Below are 25,894 nucleotides of genomic sequence, written 5' to 3' on the forward strand. Positions count from 1 at the left end.
CTTCCCAGCTGCTTCCCCTGCTTCCTCCCTTCAGGTTTCTCTTCAGTCTGTTCTTAGCACAGCAGCCAGAGAAACTCTATTAAAATAAGTGAAGTTATGTCACTGTTCCACTCAAATCTCCCTCCACGGAATCCCATCTCACCCAAAATAAGCTAGAGTTATTATTATGTCATACAAGGTCCTACGTAATTACCCCAGTCTTGATGTCTCTCTTATTCACCCTACTCCACCTGTTTTTTTTTTCCTTCAACTCACTTGTTATGCTCCTGTCTCAGGGCCTTTGCGTTGGCTATTTCATCTATCTGGGACAACTCTTTCTTAAGGTAGCCACGTGGCTAATTCTCTCACTTCCTTAAAGGCTTTATTCAAATGTCATTTTTTCAATGAGGCCTCTTCTGGGAACCCCATTTCAATGTTAGTTTCTCGTGCCACTACCATATACTTCTCATCACAATTTAACTTATTATATATTTAAGTTGTTTATCTTTATTATTGCCTGCTAAATTATAGCACCATTAGAATGTAAGCTCTATGAGGGAATTTTTGTTTATTTTGATAACTGATGTATTCCCAGCGCCTTAAAAGAGTGCTTGGTACAGAGTAGATGTTCAACAAATAACTTTTTTTTTTTTTTTTTTTTTTTTTTTTTTTTTTATTGAGACGGAGTGTCTCTCTGTTGCCCAGTCTAGAGTGCAGTGGCGCGATGTCGGCTCACTGCAAACTCCGCCTCCCGGGTTCACGCCATTCTCCAGCCTCAGCCTCCGGAGTAGCGGGGACTACAGGTGCCCGCCACCATGCCTGGCTTATTTTTTGTATTTTTAGTAGAGATGGGGTTTCACCGTGATGGCCCAGGATGGTGTCGATCTCCTAACCTCGTGATCCACCCGCCTCAGCCTCCCAAAGTGCTGGGGTTACAGGCGTGAGCCACTGCGCCCAGCAACTTGTTCTTTTATTTATTTATTTATTTTTGAGACTGAGTCTCTCTCTGTTGCCCAGGCTTCAGTTCAGTGGGGGCGATCTTGGCTCACTGCAACCTTTGCCTCCTGGGTTCAAGCGATTCTCCTGCCTCAGCCTCCCGAGTAGCTGGGATTACAAGCATGCGCCACCATGCCCAGCTAATTTTTTGTATTTTTAGTAGAGACGGGATTTCACCATGCTGGCCTGGCTGGTCTCGAACTCCTGACCTCGTGATCTGCCCGCCTCGACCTCCCAAAGTGTTAGGATTACAGGTGTGAGCCACAATGCCCAGCCTATAATTTGTTCTTGAAAGAAAGAATCAATATTGTAAACATGTCAAATTTCTTAATCTGTGAATTCAATGTAACTCAATAAAAATATCAAAAATAGGCCAGCATGGTGGCTCATGCCTGTAATTCCAGCATTTTGGGAGACCAAGGTGGGAGAATCACCTGAGGTTGGAAGTTTGAGACCAGCCCAGCCAACATGGTGAAACTCTGTGTCTACTAAAAATACAAAAATTAGCCGGCTGTCATGGCAGGCACCTATAATCCCAGCTACTCGGGAGGCTGAGGCAGGAGAATTGCTTGAGCCCGGGAGGTGGAATTTGCAGTGAGCCAAGATTGGGCCACTGCACTCCAGCCTGGTGACAGAGCAAGACTCTGTCTCAAAAAAAAAAAAAAAAAAAAAAAAAATATATATATATATATATATATATATATATACATATTTTTTATATATATATATATTTCCTATAGCTTTGCTTATTATTATTATTATTAAAATTTTACCTTGCAGCTCCAGCTCAAAGGACCTAAAGCTTAATAGAAAAATAATTAAGGACATCTGAAAAAAAAATAAGACTAGCCAAAGAACATCTAAACATTAAGAGTAATGAAGGGAAACTATCAGATAGTAAACTATGTTACAGAGCTATAATAATTGAACAGTTAAGTACAGTCACGGGGAATAACATGCAGATGAACTAACAGAACAGATTCCTATTCACATTTAGGAATATGAATAGGAATTCAGCATATAGGAGAAGTGGTTCTGCAGATCAGTGAAGGAATCAGGGACAACTGCTTATCTAAGAAACAACTATATTTTTACCTTACTCTTCATACCAGAATAAATTCTAAATGCATCCAAGATCTGTATGCAAAATATCAAAGCTTAGAAATTATTAGAAGAAAGTAAAGATTCTATTTTTGTAATCTTAGCATAAGGAAAGTCTAAGCATGAAACAAACTGAAAAGCTATATTGAAATACATTAATACATTTGACTTTGTTTTCTAAAATCTGGTAAAATATTTTTCAGTCAAAAATTATATGACAAACTGAGGGGAATTTTCAACATATACACATGAGACAAATAATAAATTTTCCCCAGTGACACAAGAGAGCAAATCGTGGAAAAAATGTGTAAGTGGCCATTAAACAGATGAAAATGTTCTCAAGTTCACTCAGAATTAACTATATATGTTACAGTAATTAAATACATATTTCATTTATTTAATTGTAAAAAATAAAAACATAATATTTGGTCATGGTGAGCAGACAGAGACTCTCATACACTGCTGTGGGACTGTCAATTGTGGCACCATTTGAAGGGCAATTTGATGATATATATGAAAATTTAAATGCGGCCGGGCTCGGTGGCTCATGCCTGTAATCCCAGCACTTTGGGAGGCCAAGGGAGGCGGATCACTTGAGGTCAGGAGTTTGAGACCAGCCTGGCCAACATGGTGAAATACCATCTCTACTAAAAATACAAAAATTAGCCGGGCATCAGGGCATACTCCTGTAATCCCAGCTGCTCAAAAGGCTGAAGCAGAAGAATCGCCTGAATCTGGGAGGCAGAGGTTGCAGTCAGTCGAGATTGAGCCACTGCAGCCTGGGCAACAGAGTGAGACTCCACCTCAAAAAAAAATGTATATATATATATATAAATGCACATACTTCTTGCTATGTAACTTTAAGCAGTTACTTAAGTAAAGTTACTTTACTTGCTGTGCTTTCTTAGGCATAATTTTCTTATCTGAAAACTGGAAATAATAGTACCCACCTCGCAGCGTTCCTATGAGCATTACATGAGATTATGCCTGCAAAGTGCTCAGATTTTTCTCATTCCTGGTAGCTTGCACATCCAGAACTATGTCTGGCCCACAGTGGGTACCTGGTGAACATCTGCTGAATGAAGAAATTAATAAAACCACTCAATAAACATTAGCTGTTGTTAGTTATTATTTGCCTCTATAATTTCACTTTTTACAATTTATTCTACAGCTAGAGATGTGTGTAAAGATATAGGTGTAGTATGTTTATTAGTAGCATTGTTTGTAAAACAAAAAGCCAGAAACAACCTAAGCTTCCATAAATAGGGGACTGATTACAAATGTACAATAAACCTATGCAATGGAATATTAGCCAGCCAGTAAAGTAAAAAAGATGGAGATACATGAACTGATAGAAAGAGATGCCCTAAAAATATCGATGGGTTAAAAAAGGCAAGTTGCAGAACAGTACAAATAATCTGAGACAAAGGTCTCACTGTGTTGCCCAGGCTGGTCCTGAACTCCTGGGCTTAAGTGATTCTCCTGCCTCAGCCTCTCAAGTAGCTGGAACTACAAGCCTGTGCCACTATGCCTGGCTAATTTGTACTTTAAAAGAATAGAGAGGATGGGCACAGTGGCTCGTGCCTATAATTTCAGCACTTTGGGAGGCCAAGGCAGGTGGATTGTCTGAGCTGAGGAGCTCAAGACCAGCCTGGGCAACATGGCAAAACCCCGTGTCTACCAAAAAAATTTTAAAAAAATTAGCCGGGTGTGGTGGTGCACGCCTATGGTGCCAGCTATTCGGGAGGCTGAGGTGGGAGGATCGCTTGCACCTGGGAAGTGGAGGTTGCAGTTAGTGGAGATTGTGCCACTGCACTCCAGCCTGGGTGACGGAGTGAGACCTTGTCTCAAAAAATATATTAATAAATAAAATAAAAGGAATAGAGATACATATGCTTATATATGCTTTTTAAAAAGAATCAGAAAGGACACACAAGAAACCACGGGTAGCTACCCAGGCAACTGGATCTGTAGGATAAAGAAGGACTTGATGGAGTGAGGACTTAGACTTTTCATCTTACACTTTCTTATACTGCTTGAATATGTTTGCCTGAACATGCATTATGATTATCATTACAAGAATATTTTAAAAACTCAAATAATAGGGCCCTGGGGGAGTATCAGGAATATGGAGAGAGCAGAAGAGGAAGGAAATACAGGAAAATAAGGTATACTAAGTTAAATGTGTTGTCCCCCCTAAAAAAGTCCTACTCACCCAAAACTTCAGAATGTGACTTCATTTGAAAATGAGGGTTTTTGCAGATGTAATTAGTTAGGGTGAAGTCATGCTGGATTAAATTGGACTCTAATCCAATGACTGGTGGCCTTATAAGAAGAGGTAAGAGACACCGAGACACACACCCAGGGAAGGCCATAAGAAGACAGAGGCAGAGATGGAGTGATGAATCCTCAAGACCAGGAAGGCCAAGCACTGCTGGTAATCAGCAGATGCTGGAGGAGGCAAGAACAGATCCCTCCCTGGAGCCTTCAGGGAGAGCATGGCCCAGCTGACACCTTGATTTCAGGCTTCTAACCTGTGAGAGGATACATTTCTGTTGTTTTAGGCCACCTAGTTTTTGGTACTTTCTTACAGCAGCTGTAATGCAAAAGGAGAGAGAGAGAAGGCTAGTGGGCTCTGCAGGGGTAGTTGTGAGGACTAACTATTTAATCAGGTATAGTCACCAAGTGTATATTTATGGAAGCTTGCTCTGTATCTAGTTTTATAAAAAGAACCAAGAAAGCTCTTTTTCTCCCTGGACTTTGTTTTATCTGTATTGGGATGTGAACATTTCTGCCCAGTTGTCTCCAGATTTCCAGTCTTGGTAGAGTGTGTTGCAAAGTGTCTCCCCACAGTCTCCTCCACTGGAACCCTGTGGGGAAAGGGGGACTTTCATGCAGGGGGCCTTGGCTTATTATCTCAGCAGCTATAGGGGTTGAGCCAACACACTCTGGCTCCTGCCGGGGGCAGGCTCCTGCTGTCTGCTTTCCAGCTGGGTGCCTGCTCTTTGCTCTCTGATTCCCCCTCCTGTTTGGTTCTCTGGCCCCTGCTGGCTGGGTCGCTGCCCCCTGGCATCATCACTCTGAAGCCAGCAGCCCTGCTGGGCCATTCACAGGCATACCCTAGTGGGGGTAAGGGGCAGATGTTATTTCTTTGTCCCCCTCCCAGCAAACACACACACACACACACACACACACACACACACACAATCTCACACTCAATATGTATTAATGTCCTGGGAAGGGGTCCAGGCAGAGAGTGATGGCAGGCTACAGGCTCTGGGGGGATGCAAATGGACCGGACAGTGTGTGTGTACATTGGGGGGAGGCAGTGGTAGTAATGGGGGGTTGTCTTCAGACTGCACTCCTGGGCAATTACATGCCAGCAGCTTCATCCACTACCAGCCGGCATGCAGGCTTTAGACCACCAAGAAGCCTCCCCATATGGCCCCAGCTTGGCCACTGAAAATTCCCAGCCACATTCTCTGGCCGATATGCTGGCACTAGGCCAAGAAAGTTAGCCTGGGGTAGCTGTTCTCTCCCCTAGCACGTGAACACACACACACACACTCACACACCAGTGGGGGGTGGGATGGAGAGTTCCTTTAGAGGCTCATGATTCCCAAAACACCACTCTTGTGTAGGGTTCCTGCCTTACTCATAATCACTTGCCCTTCCCATTTCCCATGTTCCTCTGCAAATCCACCCACCCAAAATACCACCATAGGAAAGAAATATTCCTCTTCTATATTACCTCATCAACTCCTGGCCCAGGGCTCTTTTCTAGGGCTCTACCTGTGAACCCACACATGCACACACACGCAAACACACACACACACACACACTTCTTCCCATCAGATGCTGTAACCTTATCAGAACAAACTTAGCTCCTAACTCTACAAATTCAACTCGCCCCAACCTCCCTGCTTCCTGCTACTCTCTCTTCTTTCTGCCAAATCTCCTTCAAAACCTCTGTTTCTTTTTCTTACCCTTTCTAAAGTCTGGACTGTACATATTGTTGGTAAAACTCTGGGAAAGAAGTAGTTTCCTGAGGTGGTAGAAGAGAGGGTCTCTAAACCCAACTCTGACTCTTTCTCCAGCCCAAGGTGGAAATTTATAAGTCAACAGAATGAATGCACCCCGGCTGAGGCTCCTCCAATTGCAGGGCATCTACTCAGTGTTTTAGGTGCTGTACAGGCACTTACAGTTGACAAATTAGGAAATGGACATAGTTGCAAAGAGTTGCATACCCACTCCAGAAAAAGGACAAAGAGTTGTCTTGGTAATTTTCAGAGAGCAGAGCAGGCAGTGAGGAGACTAGTAGGAGGCAAACCCCTTTCAGAACTGCCTATGGGGGTAGCCAGGAGAGAAGCTGGATGTGGACAGGGGCAGGGCCAGTTTCTAGGCTGCCTGTCTGACCCTCAGTAAAGAAGAGAAGGTGGGGAGAGGGCTGCAGAAGAGCTGGGAGGTGTGACTTCTGCTGGGCCTTCTCTGCCCACTCTCTGCTCCACTCTGCCTAGCCCAGGGCCGTAAGGACACTAGAGAATGGGAAGGAAAAGGGAGGGAACTTAGGTTATGGTTGGGAGGTATTTATTCTCTGATATCCCCAGTTGGGAGAACTCAGCCCTCTTGGCTTAGATCTGAGTTTGGTTTAAAAGGAGAGTATCATCAAGATAAAGAGAAGTACAAAGAAGGAAAGAGCAGAGAGAAACAAGAAAAAGTGGAGAGTGAAAATTAGAGAGAGCCCAGACGAGGTGAAGTGTAGGAGAGACAGCAGATTCCTGGAAAGTAGAGTGGCCCGGCTATTTGTCCAGCCTCCAAACCCACGTGACAGGGACTGTGAAGCAGCCTTGCTCACGGGTTGAGCCGCGCCTCCGCTCAGGGAACCCTGAGCAAATACGCCCTGATCCCCACATAAAGGGCCAATTAACTGCGCCGTCTCCGGGAACAAATCCGCTAACAGGGTGACAAGCCCCTAGACGCTGGCAGGCCCTGTGTTTGCGGAGAGGCCAGCCGGGAGCAAATCAGGGCATTAGGACCGGGCAGGAGCCGCATGGTGGGAGGGTTTCTGGCCCCCTCCGCCCCAGAGTAGGGCCTGGTACCAGGACGTGGGGTTTCTATCCCGATTCAGCCTCTGCTGTGATGGAACCCAGGTGACCGCGGTCAGCAGGGGGCGGAGCAAAGGGCCCCGGAGCCTCGAATCTCACAGGTCAGAGTAGATCAAGCACTCCAATTCCTCCTTAACAGATGGGAAAACTGAGATCCAAAGCGGTGACGTCTTGTACTTGGCAAACGTAGAATTAGAACCCACTTCTGTGTTGGTCATTCCTGAAGGATAGATTTCGGGTGGGAAATACATCCCTTACTTTCTCTCTTATCTGAATACCACCCTGGAGCGAGGAAGGGAGGGGCGTCAAATCTCTTATTATCTTCTTGCTTTTGAAAGGATGTGTCTCTAGCCCGTCTCCCACCTACCCCAGTCCTCAGCCTCAGGGTCTGCTCGGATTTATGTCTTCCCTGGGGGCTCCAGGGCCCTAGTCAGGCACCTGCAGATGAGGTGCTGAAAAGGACAGCTCCCAGGGCGCTGCGTGGCGGTGGGGTGGGGGGTCCATCCGGCCCCACCCCCACTCCCACCTACCCCCTCCCCCACACCTAGTGCTTCCAGCCTTTCTACGTCCCGCCCAGAACTGCTAGGGTTGGAAGGCACCTAAACACCCATAGTTGGAGGCTCACAGCCAGGCGCCTGGACTGAGGAAGGAGGCTTGGAACAAGCCCCCCACCCCTTGACAATGTCTCGGGTTCCCTTGAACAAGCTCTGCCTGAAATATTTCAATTCTTGATTCTGCTTACTCCAGAGTCTGCGACTGTATAGCACCCACCCCTCTGATCTCGACCCCTTTGGGGTCAGAAGCAGTCGCCCCATGAAAGTTGTCTCATCCCAGAACCTGACGGCTGAGCCAGAACTCTGGCACTGACTCTTCAATCAGCAGGGCCTTACCTCAGGTTAGGAATGCCCCGGCCTCTCTCTTTCCCTGATACCCCAAAGCCATCTCCTGTCTAGGAAAGTGAGTTTGTCGAGGTGGGTCTTCAGGTAGAAAGAACTCCAGAAAAGTCAGAAGCAGACCGCGACTGGAAGTGGGAGGTGGGAGTAGGGGCCCATGGTTTTCTTTTCGCCCCCCCCAGGAAGGACGACTGCTATCCGATTTGAACAGATTTGCACTAATTTTGCAGCAATCCCACATGCCTTTACAAAAATAATATTATCTTTGTTTTTGTCCTAGAATCCTTGGTTCCATTTCAGTCTCCTCAAAAACGTAAAACAATTTAATAAAAAATGTCAAAGCAGGGTAATGTAAAAGGATTCAAATAAATGACAGTTGCCTGGGTTTCCCTGGCTTTCAGTCTCCTACAGGAACTCCTAGATTAGGGCGTTTGGAGCAGGACTCCCGGGTCAGGGCGCGCCGCTCCATCCTCTGGCCTCCTGGCTGCAGACCAAAGGACCAGAGGGCAGAGAGGTGGACCTGTCTTGGAATTCTCTGCCTACTCCCAACTCTTGCTGCAAACCACCCCAGTCTCCTGCCCTTCCGTCGCCAAACCCCTAGACTTGGGAGGGAATGGAAACCAGAACTTTGGCAGCAAGGAGCATTGCTTGCGCTTTGCCTCAGTTTCCAAAAGGTTCGGGAAAAGAGAGGACAGATTCCTGTTCTAAAGTTGGGCAGAAGGGCAGAGTCCGACAGAGCCTCGTCCCTCATCTTGGGTGCTTTGAGACAGGGAAAATCTCTCGCCGCGTCCAGAACGGAACGCTGGGCTTGGGGTGCGGGGCGGGGACTCCAACTCGCGCGCTACGCTACTCGTGTCTCCTGCTCGGATAGTGACTGTAGAGGTAAGGGTGGGAGGGTGGAGGGAGGCGGATTAATCCCTTAATTACGCCGTGATCGGCGTGGCACCTGCTTTCCGCCTGCCCAGCTCCCAGGGGACTCCGGCACTAGGGGGTGGAGAGAAGGACGAGGGAAGGAGGAGGGCACGAAGAGGCACCGACCGTACCCAGGCGCACCGGCAGGAGAGCGGCACCGTGGCTGCCGCAGCGCGCAGAGGCTGTGGAGGGGCTTACGGCTCCCAGCCCACGGGTCTCAGACCCAGGGGCTGGGCCCCCAGCCCCCAGTCCCGATCCCAGCTGGGTCGAGCCATGCTGCGCTACCTGCTGAAAACGCTGCTGCAGATGAACTTGTTCGCGGACTCTCTGGCCGGGGACATCTCCAACTCCAGCGAGCTGCTCTTGGGCTTCAACTCCTCGCTGGCGGCGCTCAACCACACCCTGCTGCCTCCCGGCGATCCCTCTCTCAACGGTGAGACCCTGCCTCTTGGGGATATGGGATCCTGGGATGGGGATGAGGTGAGAGGGCGGCGTGGAAGGGAAGGAGAAGCGCTCCTGTCCCGAGGTCCGGGATTGAGTGGCGCCTCCCAGCGCCTCCCTGGGTCGTGGGGTCTAAGGGATAATTTGGAGCTTCGAGCACATGAGTGGGGGTACCCGCGGGAGGTCGAGGGCTTGGGAGAAGATGGCTACTGAGTCTTTTTACACCTCCTTCCCTTCCCCTACAACGCCCACCCCAGGTGAGAAGAACCGTTGCTGGTAACGGGCAGGGAAGTCCGAGCTAAGAAAGGCCCGGGCCCAGCGCAGGGAGGGCAGAGGAGGGGGCACAGTCTCCCGCCGGCCTCGGCCAAGCCAGGTCACTCGGTGACCCACCCAGGCAGCTGGTCTTCGGAACCCCGAAGTTTCCCAAGAACTCACTTAGGACCAGAGGAAGCCAAAATGCTGGATGTGTTTGCTACGGAGGGGATAGGGGCGGCGATCATTTTAAGGAAACTTAGAAGTTTGTCTTTCAGCGGCGGGACTCTCAGCCGGCCCACCCCGGCAGAGCTGTGGCGGGCGGGCGGAGCTGGCGGCGAGGTCGTTACCGCTAATTACGGTGATTAATAAATGACTGGGACAGCGCGCTCTCCCCTAGCGCCGCGGGGAAGCTGCGGGAGCCGGCCGCCGCCAGCCTGCGGAGAGGCCGGAGCGCGCCCCCTGCCTGCCGCATCGGGAACCCCCGCTTTACCGGGCGCTTTCGCGTGTGGTTCCCTCCAGGTGCACGCGGTCCCCATCCCTCTGCCTCGACCCACTCGAGTCTAGTGACGAGCACTGTGCTGGGGACTCGAAGGTGGAGAGAAAGGAGACCCTGGCAATATGTGTGTGTTCATGTGTGGGGCACATCAGGTGCTGAGGGAGGAGCCCCAGAGCCTCATTAGCATGGCCATTAGCTATTCATTAGGCTGCAGTCGAAGCATCTCCTGAGACCGGGAAGGGTAGAGGGGGAAATTCCAGGGAAAGGGCGCCTGCAGCTGTGTCTACAGGAATTAGGGGGAAAAGGCCGACCAGAAGGGTGTGGTCCGTATAGAAGGATTGGGGAGAAAGACGATGGGGGAGGAGCCCGATTCTCCAACCTCTTGACCCTCCTAGATTTCCAGGAGGTTAAGCACAGATCCCTTCTCGCTGGCACCCCGCAGAGTCCCGCTTCTGCTCACCTAGCGCGTTTACAGAGTGTTTTCACCATACTTTGTCTCATCTAAGCTCGAAACTTAGTGAGGTATGCAAGGAAGGTGTTGACAGACACATTTTGCCGCCGAGAAAACGCTTTATAGAGTGAATGGTGCCCTAATCGTCACAAAAGCAGCATGAAGCAAAACCTAGCGATAACAGATCAGTCCATTTCCATTACACCTGAGGGCTATACCAAGGGGAAAAAAGAATATTGGGGCCTGGTAGAATTTGATTCAGGTAGAGACTGTAGGAGCCAAGATAAGGTGCATATGCTGGGAACACAAGCCCTTAAATAATGGCAGAGTAGTGACGTTTATCCCCCAAGGGCTTTACATACATTATGGTCTTAGAGCAACCCTATCACTGCTCTCACATCACAAAGAAAGAAACTGAGACTGAGAGAAGTTAAATAATTTGCCCAAGTTCTTACAGCTAGGAAGCGTCAAAGTCTGAGATTCCAGCCCTGGTTGGTTCAACAGCAACACTTGCTCTCAATCACTCCAGTGTTGCTCACCACGGGGTGTTCCAAAATTGGGAATGGGAGGAGATGGAGGAGAAGAGAAGGGTGAAAAGCAGAGATTTCCATTTGGAAGGGAGGAGATGGAGAAAATTACTCTCCCAAGTGGGACAGAAATCGATCTTCTTGACTCCAGGCAATTAAAATAAACTCAGAACAGCGCCAGCACGGGTCAGCCTGTCCAGCTTTGTCTACAACAGAACTTCTAAGAGGGGGGGCAGGAAATGAAACCCAATCTCACAGGCGGGCTGGAAGCGGGAGGTTCCTGCAGATTTTGGAACAGGGTAGGAAGGGGGGAACAGGGGGAGGGGGCAGGGGGCAGAACAGATGCTTGAAGTGGTCCCTGGTTATTTTACAGCAGGTTATTAAAGGCTGCAGTGGCACCTACTGGCCGCCACGGGTTACAAATCCACTTTTGTTGGCTGGACTAGGGGCTGAGAGTGCCGGAGTATAACAGGCTCCGGGATCCTAACCGTGCTGCAGAAGGTGAAACAGGCCAAAGTCTGCAGGCCAAGTGACAGGTAGGACAGAATATGTGGATGAACTGATCGGAGTGAACAGGGGAAGTAGAGGAACATCAATCAGTAGAATAATCTATTGGAAACTATGCACCTGTCAGGAAAAGGAGCCTTACTAACATTTCTACTGCTATTTGCGTTCAATTCCTGTGACTTCACAGGACCCTTGAAATGAAGCGTGATTATCCGGGGTGTCAGTAAGAAGGGCCCTGTGCCGATTCATAGAATCCAGGTTGACAAGCCCTTCTAGGCCCGGCCCTGTCACTCCCGTCTTGCCTTTCATAAGGGATCCCAAGCCAGTCCACATTCCCAATTTCACTGAGCCAGGACCTTGCAGAAGTCAAGAACAAACTGTTGGCTCCAGTGCACGGTTTATGGTCTTTCACTGAGCAAGGACGATCCGTGAACCAGTGCAGGTGGAGATGGAAACCACTGGGCAGGAGGCGAGGGAGCGGTCTACTCGCCAAGCGTGGTTCAGCCACTCCCGCTTAAACTTGGCAGGAGAGGAGACGGAGGTCTCTAGGTGGTCCAGAAAGCCGGCCTAGAAGTTTGTGTCCCGATCCCTCTACTAACCGGCCTGTCTGTAGGCATCTTCCTTTGAGACGAGGAACGCGGAACGTCTGCCAATAAGGACATATTGGATCCTGCAGAGGGAGAGGGTAGGCAGGTGGGGACTGAGCTCCGCAGAGAAGCATAGGAGATGGAACGACCAGAGGATTCTCTTTCCCTCTGGAGCCTCAATCTCTCCCCACAATTTCCCTGTCTGAACGCTCTGCGCCACCCCCTGTCCCCAGGGTCAAGGGTAGGACCGGAGGACGCTATGCCCCGCATCGTGGAGCAGCCGCCAGATCTGCTGGTCTCCCGAGGCGAGCCCGCCACGTTGCCCTGCCGCGCTGAAGGCCGACCCCGACCCAACATTGAGTGGTACAAGAACGGGGCGCGTGTGGCCACTGTGCGGGAGGATCCGCGTGCGCACCGCCTGCTGCTGCCCAGCGGCGCCCTCTTCTTCCCGCGCATCGTGCACGGGCGCCGCGCGCGGCCGGACGAAGGTGTCTACACTTGCGTGGCTCGCAACTACCTGGGGGCAGCAGCGAGCAGAAACGCCTCGCTGGAAGTGGCAGGTGAGAGTCAGTTGACCGTCAGCTGGTTGCTTCCAGAGCCTGGGGTAGGCGGGAGGGCACTGGGCAATCAGACCCAGAACCAGCCCCAAAGGACTTCAGCCCACTCAGCATCCTTCTTTGGGACCGCGACCTTTGATCTCTAATGGCCACACCACGGCCAGAGAAGGAAGTGGATCTGACTCCAGGCTGATATTTTCTCACCTGGGAACGAATTCCAGTCTGCAGCGATCAACCCCTTCCCAAGACAACACTTTCCCTGTGTCCTCAGCCAGTTATGTCACTCTACACCCTGCTTATTTCGCCCCCCACCGCCCCGCCCAGTCCTCCGTGATGATTTCCGGCAGTCTCCTGGAAACGTGGTGGTGGCAGTGGGGGAGCCAGCAGTACTGGAATGCGTGCCCCCCCGCGGCCACCCGGAGCCTTCCGTGTCCTGGAGGAAGGACGGTGCAAGACTCAAGGAAGAGGAAGGAAGGATCACGGTGAGGGCGGGATTATGATTGGAGACCCCAACAAGGGAGGGGACATAGGGTAGGGAGGTGACAAGGCTGGAGATTGAGATCAGGGCATTAGCTAACCAGAGACTAAGAGTCAGCTATACAGTGAGGGATAAGGAAGACGGAATTGGTATAAAAAAGGGGCGGGGGCATGATGCCCCAGGAACTTCCCATTTGATATGTGGGTCAACTTCCTTGGTCTCCTTTATCAGCTTGCTGTGAGGATCAAATAAACTTTATACATATGTATATACACATATATTCACCATATATATATACGCTGTGATAGCTGAAATGGACCAAAGTTACCATTATTGCTCTGCAGATCCGTGGAGGGAAGCTGATGATGTCACATACACTCAAGAGCGATGCAGGCATGTATGTGTGCGTAGCCTCCAACATGGCGGGAGAACGGGAGAGTGCGGCAGCTGAAGTCATGGTACTGGGTAGGCACAGGGAATTTTGACATTATGGGAACAGGTAGCCTGCAGAGTAAGTAGCCGTGCAGACACCCTGACTGTTCACTCACTACCACTCCATAGAGCGTCCCTCATTCCTGCGCAGACCAGTGAATCAGGTGGTCCTGGCTGATGCCCCTGTGACTTTCCTATGTGAGGTGAAGGGGGATCCCCCACCTCGTCTACGCTGGCGCAAGGAGGATGGGGAACTGCCCACAGGCAGGTGAGAGACCCCCTTCTGCCTGTAGGAAGACCCAACCTGATCAAGAGACTATTCTGCCCTAGAAAACCGGAAGACAGGCACATTCTCACTTGAGAACACAGAGAAGTCTGTTCCCTAGAGCCTGTGGCCCCAGTCCTATCCAGTCCCCACCTCCATTGATGGGTCCATGGGTAACCAGCTTCTGTCCCTGCTGGGTCCTGCCTGTCTTTAAGTACCTTGACCCTGGTGTCTGTCCTGGGGGAGAGAGAAAGGGTCTGTAGCTGTGGCCAACCCAGCCTGGGGTGGGGAGTGGAGCAGGTATGAGATCCGGAGTGACCACAGCCTTTGGATTGGGCATGTGAGTGCCGAAGATGAGGGAACGTACACCTGTGTGGCGGAGAACAGTGTGGGCCGCGCTGAAGCATCTGGCTCCCTCAGTGTTCACGGTGAGGGCTGTACTTGGGACTGCCTGCAGCAGGAATGGTAGGAGGGGAGAAGGAGGATGGTTGGCAAGAGACTGAGGGAGAAAGGGCAGAGAAGGGCATGTGGATGGAACACCTGAGACTTCTGCAAGGAGTGGGAGGAGGAGAACACTAAACAGGCCGGGAGGAAGAGATGGATATCTGCTCCTGTACACTTGAGCTAAGCTGGAGCTTCTCTCTCCTGTTCCTGCAGTCTCCTTTCTTAGTGCCTCTGACTACCTGTTCCTTTTTCTCACCTGCCCTTCCCAGTCCCACCCCAGTTGGTGACCCAGCCCCAGGACCAGATGGCAGCTCCTGGAGAGAGCGTGGCTTTCCAGTGCGAGACCAAAGGAAACCCCCCACCTGCCATCTTCTGGCAGAAGGAGGGGAGTCAGGTGGGTGGCCATCTCCAAGGAGCTTCCCATCAGCCTTCCTCTGCGGCTCAGCCTCCCTCCCTCTACATTCTGCAAACTTCTCTCTGGGGCTTCTGTTTTATCTTTGGGAGCCCCCAGAAACCCTTGCAGGTTATTTGAGAGGATTAAGTAAGATAATGAATATAAAAGGCCTGGAACACATTGGGACACTTTTTAATAAATGATAATAATACATTTAGATGGTGGAGAACAGTCCTGGATGGTAGGTTCTTAGAGAATCTTTCTGTTTTGGGCAAGGCTATCCTGAGGATGTAACAAATTCAGTTTATCTCTCCTCCTTTAGACCCCTTGGGCTTTGGCTTTGGACATAACACACTGCTCTGGAAACAGTATTGAACCAAAGCTGCTCAGGGTAGAAAAGTACTCGCTCTTCTATTTATAAGAGCAACAAGGGACTTTCACAAAGGAGAGCTCACAGTCATCCCTTTTGAACCTTGCAAACAAATCTCAAAATCCAGAAGCAGAATGAACATTAACTGAAGTTACCACATAAATAACTCTCTCTAAAGGAAGGGTAGGAATTTTGCTACTGGAAACAGGGTCAGCAAGATAAAGTAAGTATGATGAGCTCCACTCTGTTGGAAAACAAGGCAACCTGCTACCTCATTCCAAATCGACAGCCACAATTTTCTAACATCTTTTCTAGCACCTGGGACTGCTGAATTCTAATTAGATTCTCACATGAATAAAAAGGGTGACGGTTAGTAGGGGTGAAGCAGGTGTTACCCAGGGTCTCAGCATGGTGCCCTTTGTCCTGAGACCCAAACCTGCTTCCCTGTCTAATCTAATGGATTATCTTCCATGGATCTATGGAATGAAAACTGTTCAAGCAGGAAGAAGAGGAATGTGTTTACCACAACGTGTTAGAAGACTTTCATATGATTACTTCATGTGATCTTTATAACTATCCTCTAGAAGTCAAATTTGGGAAATTGGGGCTCAGGCAGGTTAAACAGCTTGTTCAGGGTTTCCCCACTAGTAAGTCACGGAGCTGGGAAGTAGACTCTGAAATTGTCTAATAAAATTCCCTGATGTTTTTGTGAATACATTTAACTACTTTGCCCAAGTTCACATCACTGCTGGAGACAGACGATGAACTAGAATCATAGGAATTCTCTGAATTTTGAGATTGACAGGAATGGGGACCTCTCCCTGCCCAGCTGCCTGCTCATTCCCTACCCTGGTTCCTTGCTCTGTCCCCAGGTCCTGCTTTTCCCCAGTCAGTCACTTCAGCCGACGGGGCGCTTCTCAGTGTCTCCAAGAGGCCAACTTAACATCACCGCGGTGCAGCGTGGGGATGCTGGGTACTACGTGTGCCAGGCTGTCAGTGTGGCTGGCAGCATCCTGGCCAAGGCCCTGCTGGAGATAAAAGGAGGTACGTGCCCATGGAGATAGGACTGGATCCATGGCTTGGGAGGAAATAATGGCCTAAAGTGATGTGTTTCTCTTGGAGTCTATATACTATGTCTGCAAGAGGAGAGATGTGTTCCTGAGGCATGACCTTGAAGTTTGGAAACCAGCAGCAGAAGCCACTAATAATGGCTGGTCCTGGGCAGAGACTTCAGATGATTATCAAAGCCCCCTCTGATCACCGGAAGTTTCAGGGGCTGGGGTAGGGAGGGTGAAGGAGCAGAGAATGAGGACAAGGGGCTGCCCGCGGGGCCCTAAGCTCCTCCCCTGAGGTGCACACGTTCTTCCTCTCTCAGCCTCTTTGGATGGGCTGCCTCCTGTCATCCTCCAGGGACCAGCCAATCAGACGCTGGTGCTTGGCTCCTCCGTGTGGCTGCCCTGCAGAGTGACTGGGAACCCTCAACCCAGTGTCCGATGGAAGAAGGATGGGCAGTGGCTGCAGGGGGATGACCTCCAGTTCAAGACAATGGCCAACGGTACCCTGTACATCGCCAATGTGCAGGTGAGTGTCACCCCTGGGGCCCTAGTAGCTGAGAATGGCTATCTGCTCCACGTTCCTTACACAAGTAAGTACTCACTGGGCCTGTAGCCCCATCTTTACCCCTCTGTTCTCTCAGAGCACCTAGTATCCAACATCTTCCCATCCTTCTGCTACCCGCCTCCACCCCCTCACTGGATCTTGCTCCACTCTCAGTTTGCCAGTGCTCTGCCCTCTCTTCCAGGAGATGGACATGGGCTTCTACAGCTGCGTGGCCAAGAGTTCCACAGGGGAAGCCACATGGAGCGGCTGGCTTAAGATGCGGGGTGAGTTTTTTCTTTCTTCCCTTATTTTGATAATACCTTCCTCCAAACCTGCTTCAACAGGTAGTCGATACCTCCTCAAACTCCGGGATTAACTTTATGTCACAAATGCCATGGTTACGGTGGTGAGGATGAGAAGGACAGTAGTGGTACCCATGGGAGGCAGATGTGAGTAGGGGTTCATATACTATAGCCCACTCTGACCATCACCGCAGCTCAGAGCTCCATAGCTCCCCTGGTAAGGAGACAGGTTACACTAGGATTATCCTTTCCCTATCTTTCTACTTAAAGATTATCTCCCACTGCAGAAGACTGGGGAGTATCACCAGACCCCCCTACAGAACCCAGTTCCCCTCCGGGGGCTCCCTCTCAGCCAGTGGTCACTGAGATCACCAAGAACAGCATTACCCTGACCTGGAAGCCCAACCCACAAACTGGGGCTGCAGTCACGTCTTATGTGATAGAGGCCTTCAGGTATGGAGAAAGTTTTGAATGCAAACCTGGAGAGTTAAAAGGAGGGGATCCTATGCCCTTAGGGTCTTTGCTATTGTGAGGTGGGATTCTCCAGTACCCTCTTGCAAGGGGAAGACATAATGGTCGTTCATAGAGAGTGGATGAGATGGAGTAGGCAGGTTGGGAGTTCCTGGCTTAGACAACCCTGTCATCTCCTTCTTGTTGTAGCCCAGCAGCTGGCAACACATGGCGTACTGTGGCAGATGGCGTGCAGCTGGAGACACACACAGTCAGCGGTCTGCAGCCCAATACCATCTACCTGTTTCTGGTTCGAGCAGTGGGAGCCTGGGGCCTCAGTGAGCCCAGCCCCGTCTCTGAGCCTGTCCGTACACAGGGTAAGGTCAGAGTCCCTGGGCTCATGAGCATGAAATGTAACATCATAAAGCAACCCTCTCCCCCAAAACCATGACACCACGGCAGTTCATACAGTTCTTTCCTGCTATGCCAGGTCTATACTGGTGGCCCGGCCTGGAATAGGAGATCATGTTTGCCTCTCACAGAAGAGACAAGGGAGGAGGAAGGCAGGGAGAGGGGAGGAGGGAAGAAGGAAAGGGAGAGAGGTAGTCATTCATTTTGGCAGCTTCTGACTTCTGAGCCTTTTACCCATAGATAATAATATAGATTATTAAGACTAGAAGGGACCATGGAGGGGCCATCTTCATCTTAGAGATGAGGAACTGAGGCCTTTAAAGGATGCATGTGTAATTATGCTAGCTGGACACCGAGGCCCATGTCTGGAAGCTATTTTCCTGACCAGTCCCCTCCTGACCATGGGGTGTGCTCTGGAGTACTAAGTGGAGCAGGGCAGAGGTAGGACACGAGCACACTCTCAGCCCTATCTCCCTGTCCCTGGTGGCCTCTGCTGAATGGGTTCCTTGGTCAACAGATAGCAGCCCCTCTAGGCCAGTGGAGGACCCATGGAGAGGCCAGCAGGGACTGGCGGAAGTGGCTGTGCGCCTGCAGGAGCCCATAGTCCTGGGACCCCGGACCCTGCAGGTGTCCTGGACTGTGAGTGTGGTATGGGGAGGAGATTCAGGGTGGGGATGATTATGAGGCACATGAGGGCCTCCAAGAGTGAGTATGGGAGAGTGGGAGGTGAGTGGCTGGGGAAGGCGGCATGAGTGGGAGGAGGGGCTGGGCCTGGATGGCCTGGAGGGCCTGTATGGCCCCAGCCTCCCCTTCTGGTGTGCCTTGTCCTGTCTCCCACAGGTGGATGGCCCAGTCCAGCTGGTGCAAGGTTTCCGGGTGTCTTGGAGGGTAGCAGGCCCTGAGGGAGGAAGCTGGACAATGTTGGACCTACAGTCCCCAAGCCAGCAAAGTACTGTGCTAAGAGGACTCCCTCCAGGGACCCAAATCCAGATCAAGGTGCAAGCCCAAGGCCAGGAGGGGCTGGGGGCTGAAAGCCTCTCTGTGACCAGGAGCATTCCTGAGGAGGGTAAGGAGGGCCACCGAACAGATGGATGGACAAGAGGGAAGAAGGGGTGGGGGTGGAGGTGGAGGGGGGATGAAAATTTGCAGGAGGAGAGCAGGGTGAGTGGGTGGGAAGGAGGAATGGCTCTCAGTTCCCTAAGATGTTAGAACAGGGAGGGGGAATGTTGGGGCAGGAGGGGCAGCTTGCAATGACTATTTGTGTCCTTCTCACCATGCTCCACCCTGGCCCAGCCCCCAGTGGCCCCCCACAGGGAGTGGCGGTGGCCTTGGGGGGTGATGGCAACAGCAGTATCACTGTGTCCTGGGAACCTCCACTCCCCTCCCAGCAAAATGGGGTCATCACGGAATACCAGGTAGAGGGATTGAGGAGGGACTGGATGGGAGGGCCAGGCCGGGAGGGAGAGGGAGGACCTAGTGGCTAGAATTAGGGTGGAGGAAATCTATTACAGGTTTGGCTTTAGGGTTGGGGATGAGTTTAGGGGAGAAGAGAGAGGTTTCCAAGTGTTGTTTCCAGGTTGAATTACATCTGTATAAGGCTTCTCTACCATTTGGAGCCTTAAGTTTCCCGGTGAGGCTAAGAATCCCATTTCTGACTCTAAATCCGGGACTCGGCCTCCCTAGATCTGGTGCCTGGGCAATGAGAGCCGCTTTCACCTCAATCGATCTGCAGCAGGCTGGGCACGCTCCGCAATGCTCCGAGGACTGGTGCCCGGTCTCCTCTATCGAACCCTGGTCGCGGCGGCCACCAGCGCAGGCGTGGGCGTGCCCAGTGCCCCAGTGCTGGTGCAGCTGCGTGAGTCCACCCGAGGGCAGTGCTGAGGATCTTGACGGGGGCGGGGCAAGCCCCCCACTGGGGTAGCTGTGCCTGCCGGGTCGGGAATGACCCTTTCCCAGTTCCAGGGTTTCGGGCCCCTCCTCCCCTCACTTCTCTGACCCCCACAGCGTCCCCGCCGGACCTGGAGCCCGGGCTGGAGGTGGGCGCGGGGCTGGCGGTGCGGCTGGCGAGGGTGCTGCGGGAGCCCGCCTTCCTCGCGGGCAGCGGCGCAGCCTGCGGGGCGCTGCTTCTCGGGCTCTGCGCCGCCCTCTACTGGCGCCGGAAACAGCGCAAAGAGCTCAGCCACTACACGGGTGAGCTCCCGGCCTCGGAGCGGACGGATCCGGGAGGGAGCCAGGCGGCCCATGGGGAGGGGCAGGGGCTTAGCCGCTGGCGAGTGAGGACCGGGTCGGGAGAAAGGGGTCGCACCTGGAGTTCAGCCTCTTGGGTAGGGGCGGGATACGTGGGGCGACTCGAGGAGCTGCCAGGACTAGGGAGGGCTGCGGGCCAAGACGGGGCGGGATCTGGATGACGTTTGCCTCTAAGACGCCACGAGGAGGCCAGGCTTTGCAACCATCTCCATAAAGAAGGGGCAAGTTCGAGGACGGAAAGCCCACTCAAAGGGCGGGGGGCGGGGCCTGGCAAGAGGGGGTGTGGCCAGGATCCCAGGCAGTAAATTGTGCGGCGGGGTCTGGATGGAAAGGCGGGGCCCGCTGAAAGAAGGCGATCCGAGTTCTGCTACTTCCTAGTAAGGGACGTCTCTGGAGAGATTCTGAGGTGTTTGAGGTCAGTGGTTTTCAATCTTGGTTGGCTACACATAGGAATCACTTGAGGGGCTTGAGAAAAATACCGACACCTGAGTCCCACCCCCGAGAAATTCTGATGAAATGGGTCCAGGGTGCAGCCTGAGTGGTGGAACTGGGACCGGGGCCTAGGCGTGGACAAGTATAGGGGTATTTCTGACCCTTCTCCTCATTTCACCTCTTCTTTCTCCCACGGGTTCCTTTCTGGAAGCCTCTTTTGCCTACACACCGGCAGGTAAGCCATCTCTGCCCCAGTGGGGTTCAGACCCCCCGGGACGGGCCCTTCTCTCACTCATTCGCCCCCTCATTTTCCCCAGTGTCCTTCCCGCACTCAGAGGGCCTCTCTGGAGCCAGTTCCAGGTAATTCTCTTAGCCCATTTCCTCAGGATGACCTCCACCGACAGGCCACTCTTCTTCCGCCCCGCTGACGCCCCAGGTGGAGGGAGCATGGCCACCTCCCACCCCAACACCACCGCCACTGTCCTGAAACTCCCGAATATCGCCACCTCCCTTTCCTTTGCTGGCCTCTTCAGGCTCTCCGTCCCCAACGCTCACCTGCTCTCCCTCAGGCCACCCATGGGCCTTGGCCCCGCCCCCTACTCATGGCTGGCAGATTCGTGGCCCCACCCATCTCGAAGCCCCTCGGCCCAGGAACCCAGGGGAAGCTGCTGCCCTAGCAATCCTGACCCGGACGACAGATATTACAACGGTGAGGAGTTCTCATTCCCTCACCTGGCTTCAGCGCACTTCTCCCGACCTACTGGGGCAAACCGAAGGGCGCCCGGGAGCCCGGTCTCTCTGAGGTTGGTCAGTCCCTGGGGAGGATGTGAGCTGGGGAAGCCTCTCAGACCTACCTCCACCCTGGTTTAGGATGTAAGGCTTGTGTGGGGGAAGAAGTTGATCCCGTGGGATTTCCCTTTGTCTTCCATTCTGTTGTCCTCTATGTTTCTGTCTCTGCTTCCGGGCCTCCCTCTTTCTTCTCTGCAGAAGCGGGAATCTCCCTGTATCTAGCTCAGACGGCCAGGGGCACGGCCGCCCCTGGCGAGGGTCCTGTCTATAGCACCATTGACCCAGCGGGGGAGGAGCTGCAGACCTTCCATGGGGGCTTCCCCCAACATCCCTCAGGAGATCTGGGTCCCTGGAGCCAGTACGCTCCTCCAGAGTGGAGCCAGGGGGACAGTGGTATGACTCCAACTCCTGAAACCCCGTTTAGCCCTGACCAGGGTATCCCCAAAGAGGATCCTCCTCCCTGACCCTCTGGCACCTAGCCCGGCACTTCCTTCTGACCTGTCTCATCTCTGGCTCTTTCCTGCCTGTTCTCCGGGTGTCCCCATCCTATTCTCCTCAGGAGCCAAGGGAGGCAAAGTGAAGCTTCTGGGGAAACCTGTGCAGATGCCCTCTCTGAACTGGCCAGAAGCCCTGCCCCCACCTCCTCCTTCTTGTGAACTGAGCTGCCTAGAAGGGCCGGAGGAGGAGCTGGAGGGCAGGTAGAGATGCTCCCTGCTTCCAGGCCCACACACCTGCGGCCAGACCATGGGCTGCTGGGGAGGAAGGGGAGGGGGCAGCAGGAAGGCCAACGGGAAGGTATGGAAGCAGCTGAGCCCTTTCCTTCTCTCCTGCCTCTTTGATCCCAGCTCAGAGCCAGAGGAGTGGTGCCCGCCAATGCCTGAGAGAAGTCACCTGACGGAGCCCAGCTCCAGTGGAGGGTGCCTGGTCACCCCATCCCGAAGGGAAACCCCCTCTCCCACACCTTCCTATGGACAGCAGTCCACAGCCACTCTTACACCCTCACCTCCTGACCCTCCCCAGCCCCCAACTGACATGCCCCATCTCCATCAGATGCCCAGGTAGGGAGGTATATAGTACCTCACTCATTGCAAGCCCTCTATACGTATCTACTCAGTAGATGACTGGGTGGGTGGATGGATGGATGGGTGGATGGATCTGGGGTACAGAGGTCTCAGGGCTGTGTCAGGGTGGAAGTGTAATTTGGGCAGGAATATGGAGGCTGACAAGATCTCTCATGCCCATTAGACTGGCTCTTGCTGGAGTGGTCAGCACTCTACCTGAGACATTTCAGATATGGCTCTCCTTATGCTTCTCTAGCTTGGGAGGACTTACGGGCGGACGGGTTGTGTCTCGTTTATCTGTTAGGTTGATTGTCTAGCACAGTGCCAGGCACATAGTAGGCATTCAGTTTTTGTGGAGGGAACAGAGGCTGCGGCCTCCTGTCATTGCAGGAGGGTGCCCCTTGGGCCGAGTTCCCCTCTCAGTGTATCCCAGCCCATGCTGGGCATCCGTGAAGCGAGGCCTGCTGGCTTGGGTGCTGGCCCTGCAGCCTCACCCCACCTCAGCCCCAGTCCTGCCCCTAGCACAGCCAGCAGTGCCCCAGGTAAGTCTCTACAACCTCCTTTTGCCCCCCGGCTCCCTCCAGTGCTTGCTTCCCCTTCACCCTTAGGCCTTTTTCCTGATTTTTGCCCTTACCCATTCCTCTTCCCGTCTCCTAACACTGCAGGCAGAACCTGGCAGGGGAATGGGGAGATGACTCCCCCACTTCAAGGACCCCGTGCTCGATTCCGGAAGAAACCCAAGGCTCTTCCCTACAGGAGGGAGAACAGTCCTGGGGGTGAGGGGGGATGCACCTGGGAGATGGTGACAGTAGTGGCGGGGGGATAGGCAGGAAACCAAGGGTGCACTCTGGGGGCTGGAGGAGGGAACAGGTGAACCCCAATCTTGGGCTGTTCATTGGCAGCCTCCTGGTGCCAGGGAATGCAGGTGAGAGAAAGATTAGTGACAGGAGTGGCAGGAGGCTCCGCTGAAAACAGCTCCCTCCCCAGACTTGCCCCCACCACCCTTGCCACCGCCAGAGGAAGAGGCGAGCTGGGCCCTAGAGCTGAGGGCAGCAGGCAGCATGTCCTCCCTGGAGCGGGAGCGCAGTGGGGAGAGGAAAGCGGTCCAGGCCGTGCCCCTGGCAGCCCAGCGGGTGCTCCACCCAGATGGTAAGCAGGGCCAGGGCAGGCAGGAGGGCTGCTGCCACAGGAGACTGTGGGCTTTGGGACTGGGGGCTGATAGTAGACCAGCTCAGCCCTCCCTTTAGTTAGGTTCATGCATTTGATCCACATCAAACTCCCCTGTCTCTCTAACTCTCTGAGCACAATCCCCTGAAGTCCCAAGTTGTGTTCATTCCCAGGATGGAAGCCCAGATAAGAGGACTGGGCTCTAGGTGCTCTGTCCCCGCTCCCCACAAGGCTCCCTCTGATTGGGAGCTCCCCCGCAGCGTTCTGAGCACCCATGATGTCAAGGCCATGTGCCGGTCACTCTGCTGCTCCTCAGCCCCAGGCTGGCTGAGCCCTGTGCCTGCCCTTCATCTTCTTCCAGAGCTGAGCCTGTGGTCAGGGTGGCAGGGTGGGTGACAGGGAAGTTCTGCTTCCTGCCTGCACCTGGCTACCCTTCCCTCTTGTGCTGCAGAAGAGGCCTGGCTCCCATACAGCAGACCAAGCTTCCTGTCCCGGGGCCAGGGCACCAGCACATGTTCCACGGCCGGCAGCAACTCTTCCAGGGGCTCCAGCAGCTCTAGGGGCTCCCGGGGCCCTGGCCGGAGCCGGAGTCGGAGTCAGAGCCGGAGCCAGAGCCAAAGGCCAGGACAGAAACGCCGAGAGGTAGGGGCCATAGATTGCAGAAAAATGAGGGCAGAGGACTAGGGAAGGGTGGACCAAGGCGTAATGGAAAACAGGAAGGTGGGCAAGGGCTTGTGGAGGAGTGTCAAAAGGAGGGGATCGAGAGGGTGAGGGGGAGGGAGGAATCCTGTAGAAGTGACAAGGGGACTGAGCGTGGTGGCTCATGCCTGTAATCCCAGCACTTTGGGAGACCGAGATGGGCGGATCCCTTGAGCTCAGGAGTTTGAGACTAGCCTGGGCAATATGGTAAAATCCCATCTCTACAAAAAATACAAAATTAGCTGGGCGTGGTGGTATGCTCCTGTAGTCCCAGCTACTCAGGGGGCTTGAGGTGGGAGGATAGCTTGAGCCTGGGAGGTCAAGGCTGCAGTGAGCCATGATCACACCACTGCTCTCCAGTCTGGGCGACAGAGTGAGACTCTGTCTCAAACAAACAAACAGACAAACAAAACAAAAGAAATGACAAGGGGTGAGGACAAGATGACACATAATAGAGGAGCCTGGGCTCACCGTAGGAGAACTGGGTTAGGAGAGAGAAAGCCTGAGCCCTTCCTGGACTTGTTTGCCCTGGGCCAGGGTTTTACAAAACAGCATCTCTCTCTCTCTCCCTAGGAACCAAGATGACCCTTGTTGGGGCATTGAGAATATCATGAGTGCCACGGGGAAGGGGAGTAGGGATGTCTTTTCCCCCCCAGCAGTGATGAGTGGGGCTAGCTGAAGCCCATTGGTTTCCACGATTTCAATTGGCTGAGAAGGCAGAGAGCTAGCTCCTCCCTTTCTTTCTTTTTCCACCTGAGACTTGTTTATAAAAAACAAAACAATAAAAAGAGTCTGATCAGAGCCCAGGGCCCTGTCTGTCTGGTTCTGTGCAGCAGGTTGGGAAGAAGGGGACTGCAGGGTCCTGTATATCAACGCACACTGGTAGCTTCTGCTTCCCCTTCCACTCCGTCAAAAGCACTAAGTTAGGCCAGGCACAATGGCTCACACTCATAATCCCAGTGCTTTAGGAGGCTGAGGCAGGAGGATCATTTGAGCCCAGGAGTTTGAGACCAGCCTGGCCAACCTAGAAAGAACTTGTGTCTACACACACACACACACACACACACACACACACACACACACACACACACAAATAAATAAATAAATAAATAAATAAATTAGCCAGGTATGGTTGTGTGCACCTGTCATCCTATCTACTTGAGAAGCTGAGGCAGTAGTATTGCCTGAACCCAGGTGTTGGAGGTTATAGTGAGCTATGATTGTGCCACTGGACTTCATCCTGGGTGACAGAGTGAGACCCTATCTCAAAAACAAACAAACAAACAAAAAACTGAAAAAACACTAGGTGGGGACTGTACCGTCCTGCTTCTTAAAGGAGTAAGAAGCTCACTGTTCCCGAGTTACAACCATAGAGACTTTCCAAATGCCCAGTAATAAGACACATGTTCCACCTTTGGAAGGTCAAGCCAGGCCCTTCTTTAGTGCCCTCCTCTGGGGTCTGTCTACTTTCCCACAAGAAAATACACCCCTCACAAAAAATTATTTTGAAAAACTCAAAGAAAGGAGGAGCTTATGGGAGAAACCCC

The 25,894-nt window shown here is 52.5% G+C and overlaps 1 protein-coding gene across 15 annotated transcripts, besides 6 other annotated features; it reads left to right on the forward strand.

Annotated features, from left to right (window-relative positions):
• Positions 6,589–7,090: an enhancer, noted in NCBI's record as "H3K4me1 hESC enhancer chr11:124732803-124733304 (GRCh37/hg19 assembly coordinates)". NCBI's record gives its function as "activates a minimal SCP1, AML or CMV promoter by ChIP-STARR-seq in naive H9 embryonic stem cells {active_cell/tissue: H9 hESC(naive)}" and the evidence as "EXISTENCE:reporter gene assay evidence [ECO:0000049][PMID:30033119]".
• On the forward strand, positions 9,114–25,153 carry ROBO3 (roundabout guidance receptor 3). Of its 15 annotated transcripts, NM_022370.4 has the most exons (28): positions 9,114–9,419; positions 12,484–12,810; positions 13,132–13,289; positions 13,630–13,750; positions 13,847–13,985; positions 14,283–14,410; positions 14,696–14,820; positions 16,063–16,234; positions 16,566–16,771; positions 16,992–17,073; positions 17,379–17,544; positions 17,752–17,918; positions 18,470–18,591; positions 18,793–19,018; positions 19,246–19,367; positions 19,636–19,807; positions 19,957–20,142; positions 20,843–20,866; positions 20,949–20,991; positions 21,201–21,340; positions 21,619–21,813; positions 21,980–22,118; positions 22,266–22,478; positions 22,872–23,023; positions 23,147–23,257; positions 23,469–23,630; positions 24,100–24,290; positions 24,921–25,153. In NM_022370.4, the coding sequence occupies exons 1-28, from the start codon at positions 9,260–9,262 to the stop codon at positions 24,930–24,932; spliced, it is 4,161 nt and encodes a 1,386-aa protein (NP_071765.2). In that variant the 5' UTR covers positions 9,114–9,259; the 3' UTR covers positions 24,933–25,153. The 15 variants fall into 15 exon arrangements, 8 of the variants coding, with proteins under 8 accessions (NP_071765.2, NP_001357285.1, NP_001357286.1 ...); NM_001370356.1 differs by lacking the exons at positions 9,114–9,419; positions 12,484–12,810; positions 13,132–13,289; ... (11 more) ...; positions 19,246–19,367; positions 19,636–19,807 and having other exon boundaries at positions 19,864–20,142; NR_163412.1 differs by lacking the exons at positions 9,114–9,419; positions 12,484–12,810; positions 13,132–13,289; ... (12 more) ...; positions 19,636–19,807; positions 19,957–20,142 and adding an exon at positions 20,496–20,614 and having other exon boundaries at positions 21,201–21,434.
• Positions 9,430–10,106: an enhancer, noted in NCBI's record as "H3K4me1 hESC enhancer chr11:124735644-124736320 (GRCh37/hg19 assembly coordinates)". NCBI's record gives its function as "activates a minimal SCP1, AML or CMV promoter by ChIP-STARR-seq in naive H9 embryonic stem cells {active_cell/tissue: H9 hESC(naive)}" and the evidence as "EXISTENCE:reporter gene assay evidence [ECO:0000049][PMID:30033119]".
• Positions 12,156–12,686: an enhancer, noted in NCBI's record as "H3K27ac-H3K4me1 hESC enhancer chr11:124738370-124738900 (GRCh37/hg19 assembly coordinates)". NCBI's record gives its function as "activates a minimal SCP1, AML or CMV promoter by ChIP-STARR-seq in naive H9 embryonic stem cells {active_cell/tissue: H9 hESC(naive)}" and the evidence as "EXISTENCE:reporter gene assay evidence [ECO:0000049][PMID:30033119]".
• Positions 19,655–19,949: a silencer, noted in NCBI's record as "tiled region #2144; HepG2 Repressive DNase matched - State 4:PromP". NCBI's record gives its function as "represses a minimal TATA promoter and a strong SV40 promoter by Sharpr-MPRA in HepG2 cells {active_cell/tissue: HepG2}" and the evidence as "EXISTENCE:reporter gene assay evidence [ECO:0000049][PMID:27701403]".
• Positions 19,770–19,929: a silencer, noted in NCBI's record as "silent region_4034". NCBI's record gives its function as "represses an Ori minimal core promoter by ATAC-STARR-seq in GM12878 lymphoblastoid cells {active_cell/tissue: GM12878}" and the evidence as "EXISTENCE:reporter gene assay evidence [ECO:0000049][PMID:35858748]".
• Positions 19,940–20,059: a silencer, noted in NCBI's record as "silent region_4035". NCBI's record gives its function as "represses an Ori minimal core promoter by ATAC-STARR-seq in GM12878 lymphoblastoid cells {active_cell/tissue: GM12878}" and the evidence as "EXISTENCE:reporter gene assay evidence [ECO:0000049][PMID:35858748]".

Source organism: Homo sapiens, chromosome 11 (assembly GCF_000001405.40).
Source record: "Homo sapiens chromosome 11, GRCh38.p14 Primary Assembly".
In the NCBI taxonomy this organism is placed as follows: Eukaryota; Metazoa; Chordata; class Mammalia; order Primates; family Hominidae; genus Homo; species Homo sapiens.